Source organism: Homo sapiens, chromosome 1, assembly GCF_000001405.40.
Source record: "Homo sapiens chromosome 1, GRCh38.p14 Primary Assembly".
In the NCBI taxonomy this organism is placed as follows: Eukaryota; Metazoa; Chordata; class Mammalia; order Primates; family Hominidae; genus Homo; species Homo sapiens.
In genome coordinates this window covers 50,589,393-50,607,535 of record NC_000001.11, presented here as the reverse complement: position 1 = coordinate 50,607,535, position 18,143 = coordinate 50,589,393, and the positions used below count along the sequence as shown (strand labels likewise).

Sequence of the window (18,143 nt, the reverse complement as noted above, 5' to 3'; positions counted from 1 at the left end):
ACATGCAAGGCACATTTTTGGATCATTGAGCAAAGAAACCTGTATACAAAAATAGTGGGAGGTAATGGCTGGAAAGGTGGGCAGGGTTATGGCCTTGAACATCAGACTGAAAAAGTTTTCAGGGTGAGAGAAAACATGAGAATCATCTAGTCCAATTTTTTCATCATACAGGTGATAAAACTTAGAGAAGAAAGTCGATCAAGGTCACAGAATGAATAAGAGGCAGATTTAGAGTTTTAACCCAGGTCCTTTGCTCTATATATAGTGTTTTTCCCAAGTATTTACACACCTGGAATCATACCACAGGCTGACTTATGGCAGAAAGGAGTCATACAAGGGCACCATGAAGCCTAAAGATGTAAAAGAACAATTTTTGCTTTGCTTTAATGGTGGCAACAGGAAAAAAAAAGGTGGCTTACAGGCTAGTTAAATGTTTTTAAGCTAAATGTTCTCAGGAGGCTTAACTGGTCCCTCAAAGTCATTGCAGCAGACAGAGATACCTTTTTAGTTTTTCATTTGTTTGTTTGTTTGTTTTTGTTGTTGTTATTTTTGCCTCCAATAGCCTGTTGTTCTTTCTCTCAATTTTGGTTTAGTTCCTCTCGCAGGAATTGAATGGGAAACCTGGAGCAAGTTCCACTTTTGGACATGGCTATGTAATGTATCCTTTCGAAATTCCCAGTCGTAAGCAGGTAATGAGTGATATAAGATATGGGCCCTTAGAAACCCTCACAGCTCAGCCAGGCGCGGTGGCTCACGCCTGTAATACCAGCACTTTGGGAGGCCGAGGTGGGCGGATCACCTGAGGTCAGAAGTCCGAGACCAGCCTGACCAACATGGAGAAACTCCGTCTCTACTAAAATACAAAAAAATTAGCCAGGTGTGGTGGCGCATCCCTATAATCCCAGCTACTCGGGAGGCTGAAGCAGGAGAATCGCTTGAACCTGGGAGGCGGAGGTTGTGGTGAGCTGAGATCGTGCCATTGCACTCCAGCCTGGGCAACAAGAGTGAAACTCCGTCTCAAAAAAAAAAAAAAAAAAAAAAAAAAAGCAACTCTCACAGCTACAATATATCTAAACAAAAATGCTCTCCACAGGTTGGCACTCACAAGAATGTTATGTGGGAAATGATAAGAAACCCTTCTCTCTTTATAATTTAAATTTGTTCACTTAGGAAGAAATTTTTCTTTAACATTGGTCGGCATCATTTGGATATCTTTGGTATGGAAAAGACTGAATAATATATTTGGTTGTTATATGTTTTAGAACATATACTAATACAGTTAAATTTAATTGACATAAGTTGATATAAAATACTTAAATGATACCAATTCTGTCATCTAGGCTTAGATTCTTAAAAATAATTGGGCATTGCAACTGAAAACACCTATATGATAATCCTTCTGGCAAGGACACAAAGATGAGGTGGTGTGTGATTTTTATTTTTTTAAAGTTGAAAATCTAGTCCACTATGCTACATATTTTTTCACTTATCTCTTTATTGCTGTCAACAAAGATATTATTCCCATTTCTCAGACAAGGAAACTGAGATGTTTTGAGATAAGCAGCTTTCCTGAGAAATGACATTAGTTATCAAAGCCTGGCTCCAAGGCCAGGTTATTTGGATCCAAGTGCCTGACATATAATAACTTAATATTTATTGAATAAGTTATCAACTCTGAGTAACTATATGGTTAGTATAACATTCAACAAATAGTTCTAAATTATCAAATAATATGAGGAAGAAAAGCAGAGTCAAGAGAAATCTGCACATATTCCAGATCTCTCTTTCCCCCTCACCCTTCTTACTGGTTATAGGCAATGTGTTTAATATGTTCTTTTCCCTCTTCTGCCCTCCACCAGAGGGTGCTCATAAGCAACTAAATGGCATAAAGCTGTAGTGATAGGAACTGTGAAAGAAGGGCTATTTTAATTCACAGTGTGGATTATTGGCCTCTGTGAAAAAAAAAAAAAGTTGACTTTGAAACAGAGTTCTTGATTGAGCTGAAATAACTTTGGTTTAAAGTTGCCTTACAAATAACATCTTGAGCACTTACTTACCTGAGGATAGTACTTTTTTATATAGGTAAAGTTGACCATTCTCTCTAAAAAGGTATGAGGGACTATGCCATTAGACAGTGTTAGGCTGGTCTGGGTTGTATTTCTTATTGTGTAACTTAATGCTCTTCAGAAGTATTTTAATGACGTAAAATACTTCAGAACCTCTTCTAGTGTACTCACTAAAATCAATAAGTAATGAAGTACAAGAATATTGATGTCTGTGTTTAGTTATAAAAGCATATCCATTTAGAAATTGTGCTAATTCTGTTACAGTGAGCAGCTCTTTATCTCGCTATGACATAATCTGGTTTTAGGGGATGAAATGCCCTAGAAGATTAAAAAAACAAACAAACAAAAAAACCTTTTATATTGAGCAACCTCTGTTTGATAGCCAAAATCTCAAGATAATGTTGGGACAGTATAAGGAAGCATAAAAGTGGGTAATTATAATGTGGAAAATAGCATCAGGTGATTCTCCTTGATTTTGAGAGTCCCACCAGATTAAATGAAAGAAACCAAAAAAGTAAGTCAGGAGCATTTAAAATTACTATATATATTTCCAAAAGCTTTTAAAAAGAAAATATGAGATAATTAAATCAAGATATTTGTTAGTATTTTACAATTAACTGTAACATCTTTAAAAAACACATAGCTGGCTGGGTGTGGTGGCTCACACCTGTAATCCCAGCACTTTGAGAGGCCAAAAGGGGGAGCCCAGGAGCTCAAGACCAGCCTGGGCAACATGATGAGACTCCATCTCTACAAAAAATAAGGAGACCCTCATTTCTACAAAAAATTAAAGAATTAGCTGGGCATGGCAGCATGCACCTGCAGACTCAGCCACACAGGAGGCTGAGGTGGGAGGATTGCTTGATGCTGGGAGATCGAGGTGGCAGTCGGCCGTGATTGTACCACTGCACTCCAGTCTGGGTAACAAAGCAAGACTGTCTCAAAAAACAAAAAAAGAAGAAAAAGAAAAACCGAGATTAGGAGTCAAGAAGAGAACATGCTTGTGCTATCATTAAGCAGATGTGAGACTTGGGACAAACACTTTACCTCTCTATACCTCAGTTTCTTTTCCTGTTAAGTGAGAGGATTAGACCCTTATCTTGTGAGGAGAAACTGCCTTTCATTTGGAATCTGTTGGGGATGGTGGGATCACTGATAGAAGTTTAAGAGAAGGCTGCTGATACCTTCTCTCTGGAAATTCTTATTACTAGCTTGGAATGGGGCAAGGGAGATGCTGAGTGGTGGAAGATATGGCAGTAGCACTTGACTCAGCTAAGGCTTCAAGATCTCCTGGTTGGGATACAAGCAACTGATGAATTCTGAGGACTCTTCCAAATCTAGTATCTTGTGTGTAAAATGAAGCCATGTATAGCAGCCATCCTTGTTTCTTCCAGCTCCGGTTGCTTACATGGTAGTGTTTGTGTTTATGTACATAGCAAAAAGCCTGAGAACTTGTAACTGTTGGTGTTTATTTCATTAAACTTTACCAACTTGCCAAATCAATTGAGGACTATAACGCAGCAAGGCCAGGCAGAGAACACAGTTTTTTGAGCTATTTACACAGGAGTTTTGTTGATAATTGATCTTGACCTGCACATGTCTTTTAATATTCTGTTGGTTCCAGAATATTATTAGTCACTTCCTTTTTAACAGTGTGCTTTTTTATGAGGTGACTAAACTGCTGTTTAACCCTGCTACAAGAATGTGGCAGTGGGCTAGTCCAGACAAGTGCATGTACACTTGGTAACTAGCATTCTTGATAAGCTTGCTTCAACCTGCCACAAATTAAAGCTCTGTGTGACTTTTCTAGCACATAAGTGACAAAAAAAATGGCTGGGGGAAGGGCAGAAGAAACCTCGGATTGTGAATAAAAATAAGCTTTTTAGAGTTGCGCTTTGGTTGGCAGTAAATGAAATTTTAGCCTCATGACTCAGTTCGGTTTAAAACTACCTCAGTAATCTATTTAGCTGAACAGTAAGCATCTGAAAATTTAAAAGGGGTATTCTAGAAGTCATCTTCAGGACTCCTTACTATAAAAAACCTTATCTACGTTGGAAATGTGATGTAATAGAAAACTCCATGGCTTTTGGAGTTAAATCTGGTTTGCCATCTGGTACCTGATTTATCTTGGACAGGTTACTCCACTACTCTAAGGTTGTTTTATGATTTGTACAATCACGATAGTCTTTAATTTACAGAGTTGTCATGTATGGTAGACATATGTTAAGCACTTACTATGTAGTTTCTGACTAATGGATGGTATCTAGGAGTAGCTGTTTTAATTAAGCCAAAGAAAGTAATTACTGGTTATCAGATAGTAAGACAAGATATCTTAGAGCCTTAATAGTTGTTCGATTGGATACTTTTTAAATGGTTGTGAGATAAAGTGCCTGAGTTTTAATTTTGGTTCACCAGTCAGTACCTGTTTGACTTTGGGCAACCTTCTTATTCTGTGTGAGATTTAGTAACCTCATCTCTAAAGTGGGGATTATAATCCTTACCTGGCAGAGTTATTGTGAGAATTAAGTGGGGTAGTGCGTGTAAAGCACTTTGTGTAATAACAATACATACTGAGCTCTTAATAGTAGCAGTTATTATACAACTGCTTTTTAAAATACGGAATGGTTTCATGGGTGTATGTATATATATGTCAAAAAGCAATACTTTAGGCTGGGTGAGGTGGCTCCTATCTGTAATCCCAGCATTTTGGGAAGCCGAGGCGGGCAGATCACTTGAGGTGAGGAGTTCAAGATCAGCCTGGGCAACATGATGAAACCCCATCTCTACAAAAATACAAAAATTAGCCGGACTTGGTGGCATGCACCTGTAGTCCCAGGTACTCAGGAGGCTGAGGCAGGAGAATCGTTTGAACCTGGGAGACGGAGGTTGCAGTGAGCTGAGATCACACCACTGCACTCCAGCCTGGGTGGCAGAGTGAGACTCTGTCTCAAAAAAAAAAAAAAAAAGCAATACTTTATATGAGGATATAAATGCATATATTAATAGCACTGAATACTGCCTTATTGAAGTATAATTGACCTGTAATAAACCATACATTTTTTAAGTGTACAGTTGGATACATCTTGACATACAAATACACAGATTAAAAAGATCATCAGTGCAGTGTAGTCAGTGCTAATATCCGGTAGCATTCCCAAATCTGGATGAAATTACATCAGTGTCTTGTGAGGACGATGACAAGCTTGAGATATGGTTTTTAAAAAATGTCTCATATTAATTGTTCTTCTTAAAACACAAGAGAATTGTATTTTACAAACTGAGTGAATAAAAGATAAAAACAGTAAAGCTGTAGTTTGAATCTCGTTCACTTGTGTTACTGGGTGTGTCACATGCAGAGCAAGGAGTCTGCAGGTGACATAACCAAATCTCCTTAGTGATGTATGAAGATCATAGCCCATTAGGGCTAGAAGGGATCTGAGAGGCCATTTAGTTGGTCGTACCTATATTTTACAAAAGGAGATGTTAAGACTCTTGGTTACTGACCCAAGGTCCCATAACAGGTTTTATAGCTTCCAATACTCTTAAAATGTCTTATTCTTTGTCATTTATAATTAGAAAAAAAGACAGACTGCAAGCATGTATTTGGGGAGGGTTAAAATTTGGCTATAAAATAAAAAATACTTTGAAGAACTAATTCATATGTATATGAATATATGTATATATGAATATATGTATACATATGAATATATATGTGTATATATGAATATATGTGTGTATATGAATATATATAGTGTGTGTGTGTATATATATATATATGAATATATATGTATTGTTTGAGACTGAGTCTCACCCAGGCTGGAGTGCAGCGGCTCAATCTCAGCTCACTGCAACCTCTGCCTCCCGGGTTCAAACAGTTCTCCTGCCTCAGCCTCCCGAGTGCCTGAGAGTACAGGCTCCCGCCACCATGCCGAGCTAGTTTTTGTATTTTTAGTAGAGACGGGGTTTCACCACGTTGGTCAGGCTGGTCTCGAACTGCTGGCCTCAAGTGATCTGCCCTCCTTGGCCTCCCAAAGTGCTGGAATTACAGGTGTCTCACACCGAGCCACCACGCCCAGCCTACTAATTCATATTTTTAAAGAAAGAAGTATTAAGAATGGCCTTAAATGCTCTGAGGACCAAGCTTAACATGATAATACTGTGTTTTACTAACAACTTGTTAGACATAGCCAGAGATCAGTCATGATGGTTTACTGGAGTTTTCCTTTGCATATTGTCCTAGTATTTTATTTTCATGTGAAGAATAACATAAAGAATAATACAAAGAAAATACTATATGCTTTGTTTATTGTGTAAAGAAGAAACATCGAAAAGATTCTAAGATTTTGAAAGAGCTTTTTTGTCTTCTCAGTTGTTTCAAGTAATAGTTGTCATTATTCATGAAAATTAGTTGCATATGTACACATTACATAGTTCAGCAGTTCACAGCTTTTTGGTCTCAGGATCCTTTTGCACTTGTAAAGAAATCATCAAAGACCCCAGAGAGCTTTTGTTTATGTGGATTATATTCATTGACATTTACCATTCTAAAAATTAATATTGAAGAAAATAATATTTAAGATAACAAGTGAATTACATGTTAATATAAATAGCATTTTTATACAAAGTAATTATATTTTCTAAAAATTCAGTAAGTAAAGTGACACTGTTTTTATACTTTTACAAATCTCTTTAATGTCTGTCTTAATAGAAGACAACTGGATTTTCGTGTCTTCCTTCTTCTGCATTTAACCTGTTGTAATGAATTTTTTTGATTGAAAATATGAAGAAAATCTGACCTCCTACAGATCTATAGTTGGAAAAGGGAGGAGTATTTTAATAGTCTTTTCAAATAATTATAGATATTATTCTTTGATACTAAACTAGAACTTGAGAAGTGGTAGTTTCCTAAAGGTTAGTCTTATTTTTTTTATTTTAATTTTTTTGTGTGTGTATATGTGGCAAGGAGCTTTCTCGGGTAAAGCTAAATGTTACTTTCAATGTAGAATCTGAAGCCCTACCACTATACATTTTGTATTAATACTTTGTCACAGTAAGATACATTGGTCTGCCTCACAGTTTGAATTAAACCTTTATCCATACATAATTTTATAACATCATGCAATCACTGTTCATTTGGAGAATATTGGTCTTGTGAGTTATGCAGATTTTCTAAATGTTGACACATTTCATTACATGATATAAAAAGTCACATCTATTATATTAATATAACCACTGAACGCATCACAAAGGCTTTAAGCATTGAGAAGCTGTCAAGCTCATGATGGCTGATAGTTTTTAAAACTCTTAATTTTTACATGAAAACTCAAATTTTGTCATTGGCAATTAATACTGTCAGACCTGTTCCTTGAAGTAGTAGTCTCACTTCATTCATTTTGGAGAAAATGTTCAGCAATTAGGGATACTCAATCACAGGTTGAGTATCCGTAATCTGAAAATCTGAAACTTTTTAAGCAGCAACATGATGTTAAAAGGAAATGCTCATTGGAGCATTTCAGATTTTGGATTTTTAGATTTGAGATGCTCAACTGTTAGGTATATATGATGCCAATATTCCAAAACCCAAAACAGTTCTAAGTCTGAAACACCTCTGGTCCCAAGCATTTTAAATAAGGGATACTTGTCTAAATACCAAATCCAAATAACCACAGTTTGTCTGCCCATCATTTGTTTAAGTAGTAATGGTGTTTCTGAAAAAAAGTGGCTGATTCAGCATATAACTGAAACACACATGCTTTTTCTTCAACCCATCCATTATACTTTGGTATGCTGTAGAAGTCCTTTATACATACTTCCCATTTGTCACATAGAATATTAAAAGACATGTATTAAGAGTCAAAATTTACTTAATAAATAAATTAAATTACTTAATAATTTTTACTGATTTAACAGGGACATTATTAAATGAAACTGCCATTTTTACAGTGAGTAAATGGAACTGGAGATTTTTAACAGCTTGGTGTTACTACCTTAATTTGTGCTGAAGTACCAGCAGATTTGCCTACCATTGCTTTTTTTAACATCAGTATAAAAACACTGTGGCCAGGTGTGGTGGCTTAGGCCTGTAATCCCAGCACTTTGGGAGGCTGAGGTGGGCAGATCACCTGAGGTCAGGAGTTCAAGACCAGCCTGGCCAACGTGTTAAAACCCCGTCTCTACAAAGATACAAAAATTAGCCAGGCATGGTGGCACACACCTGTAATCCCAGCTGCTTCGGAGGCTGAAGCAGGAGAATCACTCGAACCTGGGAGGTGGAGGTTGCAGTGAGCTGAGATCGTACCACTGCACTCCAGCCTGGGTGACAGAGCGAGGTTCCCTCTCAAGAAAATAAATAAATAAATACAACACAGTGAAAAAGTCTAATGCCATTTAAGTATTATTATGAAATAATTTTGACCTTATGGAACTACTGAAAGAATCTCAAGAACCCTGTGCCTGTAGTACATACTTTGAGAATCACATAGTATGTTCTTTTTTTTTTGAGACGGAGTTTCACTCTTGTTGTCCAGGTTGGAGTGCAATGGCACAATCTCAGCTTACTGCAACCTCCACTTCCCAGGTTCAAGCAATTCTCCTGCCTCAGCCTCCCAAGTAGCTGGGATTACAAGCATGAACCACCATGCCCGGCTAATTTTTTGTATTTAGTAGAAATGGGATTTCACCATGTTGGTCAGGCTGGTCTCGAATTCTTGACCTCAGGTGATCCACTCGCCTCAGCCTCCCAAAGTGCTGAGATTACAGGCGTGAGCCACCGCGCCCAGCACATGAGCCATTGCGCCCAGCACAGTATGTTCTTAACACTAAATACTGTTTGTAAGAAGAAAAGAAAAAACTTCAAATGGACTTTGAGTATTCACTCACTGATAGAATATCTACTATGTAGCAAGTGTATTCTCATTTAAGCCATCCTCACAGAAAGCCTGTTAGGAAAGGTCATGTTAATTTTACAGAACAGAAAACTTAGCCTTTTTTTTTTTTTTTTTTTTTTTAAAGACAGGTTCTTGCTTTATCACCCAGGCTAGAATGCAGTGGCATGATCTCAGTTCTCTGCAGCCTTGACCTCCTGGGCTCAAGCAATCCTCCCATCTCAGCCTCCCTAGTAGCTGGACTATGGGTGTGTTCCACCATGCCCAGCTAATTGGTTTTTCTTTTTTTGGAGACAGGGTCTCACTCTGTCACCCAAGCTGGAGTACAGTGGCATGATCACAGCTCACTGCAGCCTTAACCACCTGGGCTCAAGTGATCCTCCTGCCTCAGCAACCCAAGTAGCAAGGACTACAGGCGTGCACCCCCATACCCAGCTAATCTTTTGTTTATGTTTTTAGAGACAAGATCTCACTATGTTGCCCAAGCTGGTCTTGAACTCCTGAGCTCAGGCTATCCTCCTGACTCAGCCTTGCAAAGTGCTGGAATTACAGGCATGAGCCACCACGCCCAGCCAGGAAACTTAGTTTCGAGATGGAAAATATTGATTCGAGTGAATAGTAGAAGTGAATTTGAACTCAGGACACTCTGAGTTTAAAAGTCCATTCTACACTTAGCCGTCTCCTGTTACTAAATAGAAAAAGTTCCTTTAGGGATCAACAAGAATTTGTTAAGTGCCTGCCTTTTCCATGGATTACTTTTTAACAGAACAAATTTACTTAATTTTGTTCATTTTTCTTCATGTCTTGTCAAAAAATGATTTACCATCCTTATATTTCAATCATTGACAGCTGACAAGAACAATTAAATTCTTGCCAACTATAGCTATTTTTTCCTTAAGATGTGGCCTTAAAAATATAAATACTGTAAAATAATAATTATTTTTGTGAAAAAGGGTTTTCTTTGGATAATTTAAATGCATAAACTTTTTGTGTTGATGTAGTATAATTGTCAAATTATTTAATTGGACACATATACTTAAAATAATGTTAATATTATATAATGTTAATTTACAAATACTGCTTTTGTAGCTACCCTCATATTTCATGATATTTATTCAAATTCTATGGGCATTTTTTTATATATAAGCATCATCATCACCACTAGGGTCACTTTTTTTTTTCTTTTTGGTTGACATTGTAAAGACTAAATAATTGAATTGAATAAGATAACTACTCTTGTGTTAATTAAGGAACAGGCTAACTTAGAAAGACCCCAGAATATAAGGTGACAGTGGGCTTCTCTCATGGAACAGTCTAGGTGAGGAAGGTGTTTCTGCTAAAGTCATGTTTTCTAGAGTCCATCCTTTTCGCTGGACATTTTATCTCAAGCCACAGATATTCTTCACAGACTAGTAAAAAGTAATGTTTGTTGAGCCACCAACTGTGTGCTAGGCATTTTCTCATTGCTTTACCCATAAACTCAACCTTATTATCCCTACGCTGTGGAGAAAGTAATAATCAAATACTATCCCTATCTAGGTGTCATTAAGGACAGTTGTAATTTTTTCATTTGCTTATTTTTTGTTTTGTTTTGGTTTCATTTGTCCTATGTATGTATATTCATCATCTTCCCAAGACATTTTTCAAAGTATCTTTTAAAGACAGGTTTATAAGGACTTTTAATACTTGCAATTGTGAGATTATACAGAGCTCTAGGAATAATCATGTCTTATCATTGTCTTCTTTATTAACCAGTTTTGACAAGTAAACTCTGGGAGAACCTGAAGCATCATTGACTCAGGTTATTTAAGGCTAATCTGTCGAAACAGTGTATTGAAAATGAAGTATTTGAGGAAGCACCCTGTAATAGGAGAACTTTTGTAACTACTCAAATATAAGGCAGCTTCCTTTATGATAAAACCTAAACTTAGATTTTTGTATATTTCTGATATATGTATCTTATGGAAATTTTAAATTTTGTATCTCACCTACAATTTTATATTTCTATCCCTACTGCCTTCGGAGTTAGGAAAATGAGGTATTATTCTGCTAATCAGAAAAGTAGCAGACGCACATTGAGGCAGTGGGGGATTGGGGGCAAGTATGTATGATTTGCCTTATTTTGGGCTCATACCAGTTTCCTAGAACCTCAGTCTATCATCTAATGAAAATTAGCCTTAGCTACCATAACATCCCATGTGTGGAAAAATTTCAAATTTTCAAAGCCTTCCTGGTAATGTAATACCCAGGATACTAGAGTTAGCTTTCTAATCTAGCTTCAGCAATAATAGAAAATACCTGAAAAGTCAAATCCTTTTGTGAAACATGGCCGTATTTTGTTTACAAATGATGGATTCTACTTTTTGCAGATGTGTCTTGCTGAATCAGGGCTCTCTTATCCCTGCCATCGACTTACAGTGGGAAGAAGATCTTCACCTGCACAGACCCGGGAACAGTCGGAAGAAGTAAGCCTGTTTGCCAGCTTTTCTTTGAACAGAAGGCCCATCCCCCACCTACCTGCGCACTTCCCTTTTTTTTTATCTGCCAGAGCAATGAACAGATAAAGTTAATGTAGCATTAATTAAATCTCGGTAAATTCTTGAAGGCAGAAACTGTCCATGCAAGGTTACTACTAATGTGCTCCTTCTCGCTCTGTTAGTTTCATGTTTCAACAGACGGAATTCAGATGGATTGGTTGAAATGATTTTTACTTAGAACCATCAGGCTAACAAAGAACTTTCTAGGCTGGGCACAGTCACTCACGCCTGTAATCCCAGCACTTTGGATGGCCGAGACAGGCAGAGCACATGAGGCCAGGAGTTCGAGACCAGCCTGGCCAACATAGTAAAACCCCGTCTCTACTAAAAATACAAAAATTAGCCAGGTGTGGTGGCAGACACCTATAATCCCAGCTACTTGGGAGGCTGAGGCATGAGAATTGCTTGAATCCAGCAGGCAGAGGTTGCAGTGAGCCGAGATCGCGCCACTGCACTCCAGCCTAAGCAACAGCATGAGAATGCATCTCAAAAAAGAAAAAAGAAACTTTTTTTTGCTATTGACTGTGTAGTTGAGTAGATTCATTAGGATTGACCCCGGAAGTCCTTTAACTCATTGGGTTGGAGCACTTACTATGAAGCAGACACTGTGCTTAATATCTTTAGATAACAAAGATGAATAACACTATACCTATACCAAAGTGCTGAGAGTCAAGGGTGATAGATAAAATAACAGTGGCCAGGTACAGTGACTTACACCTGTAATCCCAGCACTTTGAGAGGCCAAGGTGAGTGGATCACCTGAGGTCAGGAGTTCGAGACCAGCCTGACCAACATGGAGAAACTCCGTCTCTACTAAAAATACAAAATTAGTTGGGTGTGGTGGCGCATTCCTTTAATCCCAGCTACGCAGGAGGCTAAGGCAGGAGAATCACTTGAACCCAAGAGGTGGAGGTTGTAGTGAGCCGAGATTGTGCCATTGCACTCCAGCCTGGGCAACAAGAGTGAAATTCCATCTCAAAAAAAAATAAAAATAAAAAGATAATAATAATAGTGATGGCATAATATAAAAAATGCAGTGATAGTGTTGCACACAGGGGTCCTAAAGAAACAAAGAGAAGGGGCAGATAAGATTGAACACGTTTGTTTGTGTGTTGTGCCTATTTGGGTCTAAGTGAGCCTAAAGAATATATATATATATAATTTTTTTTTTTTTTTTGAGATGGGGTTTCACTCTTGTTGCCCAGGTTGGAGTGCAATGGAGCGATCTCGGCTCACTGCAACCTCCACCTCCCAGGTTCAAGCGATTGTCCTGCCTCAGCCTCCCAAGTAGCTGGGACTACAGGTGCCCGCCACCACGCTCAGCTAATTTTTGTATTTTTAATAGAGACGGGGTTTCACTATATTGGCCAGGCTGGTCTCGAACTCCTGACCTCGTGATCCACCCCCAACCCCCACCCCCCCCGGCCTCCCAAATTGCTGGGATTACAGGTGTGAGCCACCACGCCTGGCCCAAGCCTAAAGAATATTATAAGGAAATATTTAAATTCTGTTCCATGGCTACAAACAGCACTTTCATGCCCAACTCTGACCATGGTTATAAGGAAATGGGAAAGAGAGCATGGATGTTTTAACTTATTTAAGAAATATTTATTGAGCTCTTACTATGTGCTAGGAAAAGTCATCACCAAGACTTCAAAAGTGTATACAATGGAGGTCATAACTAAATAGCACAGATGAACTTTATTTAAACTATAATTTTTTTTTTTTTTTTTTGAGACAGGATCTCACTCTGTCACCCAGGCTGGAGTGCAATGGTGCGATCTCGGCTCACTACAACCTCTGCCTCCTGGGTTCAAGTGATTCTCGTGCCTCAGCCTCCCAGGTAGCTGGGATTACAGGCACGCACCACCACACCCGGCTCAATTTTTTGTGTTTTTAATAGAGACGGGGTTTCACTATGTTGGCCAGGCTGGTCTTGAACTCCTGACCTCAAATGATCCACCCTCCTCAGCCCTCCAAAGTGCTGGGATTACAGGTGTGAGCCACCACGCCTGGCCTTAAACTAGAATTTTTTAAGACAGAGCATGATTCAAGTATTTAAAAGCTTAGGCTAGTAAGATAAAAATTTTTTTCCATTTACATTCTATACAAAATGTGGTTGCTCATTTTTATTTAAACTGCCTATATATTTTGGACACCCATTATGGAAGCTACCACAGGACTTCTCCAGCCATCCTTTGAATACGTATTTATATCACTTAAACATGTGAAAGAGAAATGGAGTTATGTAATTGAAGTTGTAGTCTATAATCATCCTGTGAAAATTATAATTTGCCACTCTGGTTTTTAACATTTTTTAGAAAACCACAGAGAAGGAAGTGTTTTCCCCTGCTAATAATATGACTGTGCTGTATTATACTGTACTATACTTGGTCTCCAAAAATGTTTATTCCTTTTCAAGAGACCAAACCATTTTTTTTTAAAGCACTTTATCTCACTAGCCCTTGTGAAAGAAAGATAATATTGAGTTTCACTGCTTGGCAGAAATTGCCGGACATAATTTAATGAGATATTTCTTTAAAGTGCTTGAGTCTGTTTTTAATGGCTAGAGTAGGTCATACTTCCACTCTTTAATGGATAAATCCACTAACATTAAAAGGTGGCCAACTAGCCCCAACCAAAATTTTTAATTATTCTGTGTCCTATCTGAGAGGTGACAGGTAACTGTTTCACTTCATTTATTTTCTTCTCTCACCCTCACTATTATATGTGTTATTTGGGTGGTCCCATCAGCAGAGAGAAGTCAGTTCCATATAGTGAAGAGCAGTGTTTGTGAGGCTAGCACACTATTTAGGTTATTTTGAGAAAATGGTAGTGTGGGATTGGGAGGCTTTGCCAAACTAAAACATTCACAACCTCGGTAATATCTTATTATTACTGAATAATAATATCTTATTATTAGGAGTTTTGCCCTCCTATAATAACCAGTTTCATTTTTGAGCAGCTTTTTCTGTTGTCTTCCTTATATTAAGTTGAAATATGTGTAATTGTACCTTCTACCCAGTGATTCTACTGCTGTCTTCCGGTTCTACTCCTACATGACTTTGTGTGTTTTAAGACAATCATCTTTCTTTCTTTTTTTTTTTTTTTGAAACAGAGTCTTGCTCTGTTGCCCAGGCTGAAGTACAGTGGCACAATCTTAGCTCACTGCAGCCTTCTCCCCACGGGTTCAAGCAATTCTCGTGCCTTAGCCTCCCAAGTAGCAGGGACTACAGGCATGTGCCACCATGCCCGGCATTTTGAGTAGAGACAGGATTTTGCCATGTTGGCCAAACTGGTTTTAAGCTCCTTACCTCAAGTGATCTGCCCTCCTTGGCCTCCCAAAGTGTTGGGGTTACAGGTGTGAGTCACCGTGCCCAGCCAACAATAATCATTTTGCTGTTGACTTTCTTAAACTTTGAGTTAGGAAGGAAATATTTGAGACCAGCAGTTAAATTCAAGTTTTAGACTTTATGGATTGTAGTTATATTTCCTTTAGCTGGGAGAATTTTGATTCTTACATCATCTCTCTGGCCCTACAGACACAGTTTCTTTACGATCATTTAATATTTTTTCTTCTCATCCTCCCCTTGTTCCTGAGCCCCCGTTTAATGATTTTTCCATATTTCTGGATACCTAGCTAGGTAACAATTTATCCTCAGTTGCTTGGGTGAGACAGTGTGGGGGCCTTGTTGACCCTGGCTCCTTGGGAATTGTTCAGTTCTCAGTTGACAGTGAAGAAGGAGAAGAAATCCAAAAACTTAACAACAACAAAAAGTTTTAATGTAATGTTAAAAGCATCAGTTTATAACTATGGTTAAAGAAACATTTATTGAATGCTCACTATGTACTAGTCAGATGAATATAAATTGATAATTTTATATTATATGATTAATGAGAAAATTGAGGCAAGCATGAGATGCTAGGGGAGCATAGATAATGGGGGTGGGTTGTAACTTTCAAGAATGTTTGCAGGCAAGAACTTTGTTTGTCTTTCTCCCCTCTGTAGCCCTAACACCTAGCATAGTGCCTGGCATGTAACAGACACAGAATAGTTATTTGTAAATGAATATTTTTTAAATAAAGGAAATAAAAAAAGACTAGAGGAGGTGACATCCACATTGGATTATAAAGAATGAGTCACAGCCAAATAAAGAATCAAAGGAATCATATTCCATTCATTCCATTCAGAGAAAAAAAGCATGATTTGATGTAGCAAATGAGAAGAGATAAGTGTAGGTTGCTGTTAGTGCAGAAGAAAGTCGGGGGAAAAGGAAGATAAGAGATGAGGTGAAAGTGAGTAAGTCTTGTATGACACATTGAGAATTTGGAACTGTAGAAAGCAGTAAAAGCCTTTTTTTTTTTTTTTTTTTTCTGAGATGGAGTCTCGCTCTGTTGCCTAGGGTGGAGTGCAGTGGTGCGATCTCGGCTCACTGCAACCTCCACCTCTCGGGTGCAAGCTATTCTCGTGCCTCAGTCTCCTGAGTAACTGGGATTATAGGCACCCACCACCATGCCCGGTGAAATTTTTGTATTTTTAGTAGAGACGAGGTTTCGCCATGTTGGCCAGGCTGGTAACTCCTGACCTTAAGTCGTGATCCACCTGCCACGCCCTTCCAAAGTGCTGGGATTGCAGGCATGAGCCACTGCACCTGGCCAGCAGTAAAAGACTTTTAAGTGGGGAGTGATATCTCCCCACAAATACACAGTTTAGTGAAGAGCGCTCTGCTGTGCACAGGCTAGATTTAAAAGAAACAAGACAGAAGACAGAGAAATCAGGTATGAGTCTGTTGTACTAGTGCAAGCAAGAGATAATGGAATCCTCAATGTAATACAGCACATTTACAGAATGAAGGAAAAAAACACGTCATCATCTGCATTTGGTAACATTCAACACCCTTTCATGGTAAAACTAGAAATAGAAGAAAACTACTTCAACATAATGAAAGACATATCTGAAAAACTCACAGCAAACATCATACTCAAGGGTGAAAGACTGAAAACTTTTTCTCTAAAATCAGGAACAAGATAAGAATGACCCCTTTCTTTCTTTCTTTTTTTTTTTTGGAGACAGAGTCTCGCTCTGTTGCCCAGGCTGGAGTACAGTGGCACGATCTTGGCTCACTGCAACCTCCGCCTCCTGGGTTCAAGTGATTCTCCTGCCTCAGCCTCCTGAGTAGCTGGGACTACAGGAGTACACCACCACACCTGGCTAATTTTTGTAATTTTAGTAGAGACAGGGTTTCACCATATTGGTCAGACTGGTCTCAAACTCCTGACCTCAGGTGATCTATCCGCCTCAGCCTCCCAAAGTGCTGGGATTACAGGCGTGAGCCACGGCGCCCGGCCAAGAATGACCCCTTTCACCATTTCTATTTGACATAGTTCTGGAAGTTCTGGCCAGGGCAATTAGGCAAGAAAAAGAAAAAGAAATAAAAGGAAGGATTAAAATAATCTCTGTTCACTGAGGATAATTTTATATGTAGACAACTCCAAAGATTACATTTTTAAAAAACTATTGGAACTAAAAAATGAATTCAGCAAAATACCAAGATACAAAGTCAACACACAAAAATCACTTGCATTTCTATAAACCAACAGTCAACAAGCTGAACAGAAAATTAGAAAAACAATTCCAATGTCAAAGCATCAAACAGAATAATACTTAGGAATTAACTAATAAAAGAAGCGGGAGACTTGTACTATGAAAGCTACCAAACATTGCTGAAAAATTAAAGAAGATATAAATAAATGGAAACACATTTCATGTACATGGGTTGGAAGGCGTAATATTGTAGTGCCCAAAGCAGTCTACAGAAATCCGTATCAAAATTCCAATGGTGGTTTTTTGCAGAAATAGAAAAACTTATCCAAAAATTCATATGGAATTTCAAGGGACCTTGAATAGCCAAAAACAATCCTGAAAAAGAACAAAGCTGGAGGACTCACTCTTCCTGATTCCAATGTTTAGTAAAAAGATACAGTAATCTCAACAGTACAGTGCTAGACTAACATATAGCCCAATGGAATATAATAGAGAGCCCCAACATACCAGCATATTATGATAAAATGGTTTTTGACAAGGGCACTAATCCCATTCAATGGAGAAAGGGAAGTTTTTTCAACAAACGGTACTGGGAAAACTGGATATCCACATGCGAAAGAATGAAGTTGGACCCTTACCTAATATCATATGCAAAACTAAACTCAAAATATATGAAAGACCTAACTGTAAGATCTAAAACAATACAACTGTTAAAAGAAAACATAGGGCAAAAGTTTTATGACATTGGATTTGGCAATGATATCTTGGTATGACACTAATGGCACAGGTAACAAAAGAAAAAATAGAGAAATTGGACTTGGTGAAAATTAAAAAGTTTTGTGCATCAAAAAACACTAGCAATGGAGTTAAAAAGGCAACCCACAGAATGGGAGAAAATATTTGCAAATCATACATCTGATATGGGATCAATGTCTATAAAATATAGAGAACTCCTAAAACTAAGTAATATAACAACCCAGTTAAAAAATGGGCAAAGACCCAGAGCTGCAAGACTGCTACTGCTGTAGTTGTTCTGGCCTGGGAACACAGCCCAGCAGCCTTGACAGTCTCTGGGTGTGTGACCTACCACTCCTCTCCCTTCCCCACCTGG

General features: G+C 38.2%; 1 protein-coding gene across 5 annotated transcripts in view, besides 1 other annotated feature; it reads left to right on the top strand.

Annotated features, from left to right (window-relative positions):
- FAF1 (Fas associated factor 1) overlaps nucleotides 1-18,143 on the top strand; it is a 523,240-nt gene that overhangs the window by 352,732 nt on the left and 152,365 nt on the right. For all 5 annotated transcript variants that reach the window (NM_007051.3, XM_047442745.1, XM_047442743.1 and 2 more), the window contains one exon: nucleotides 11,320-11,415. In NM_007051.3, coding sequence (NP_008982.1) covers nucleotides 11,320-11,415 — 96 coding nt within the window. The remainder of the gene's footprint in view (nucleotides 1-11,319; nucleotides 11,416-18,143) is intronic.
- Nucleotides 2,991-4,190: an enhancer, noted in NCBI's record as "MED14-independent group 3 enhancer chr1:51069018-51070217 (GRCh37/hg19 assembly coordinates)". NCBI's record gives its function as "activates an origin of replication core promoter dependent on BRD2, BRD4, P300/CBP and CDK7 cofactors, and independent of MED14, by STARR-seq in HCT116 cells {active_cell/tissue: HCT116}" and the evidence as "EXISTENCE:reporter gene assay evidence [ECO:0000049][PMID:35650434]".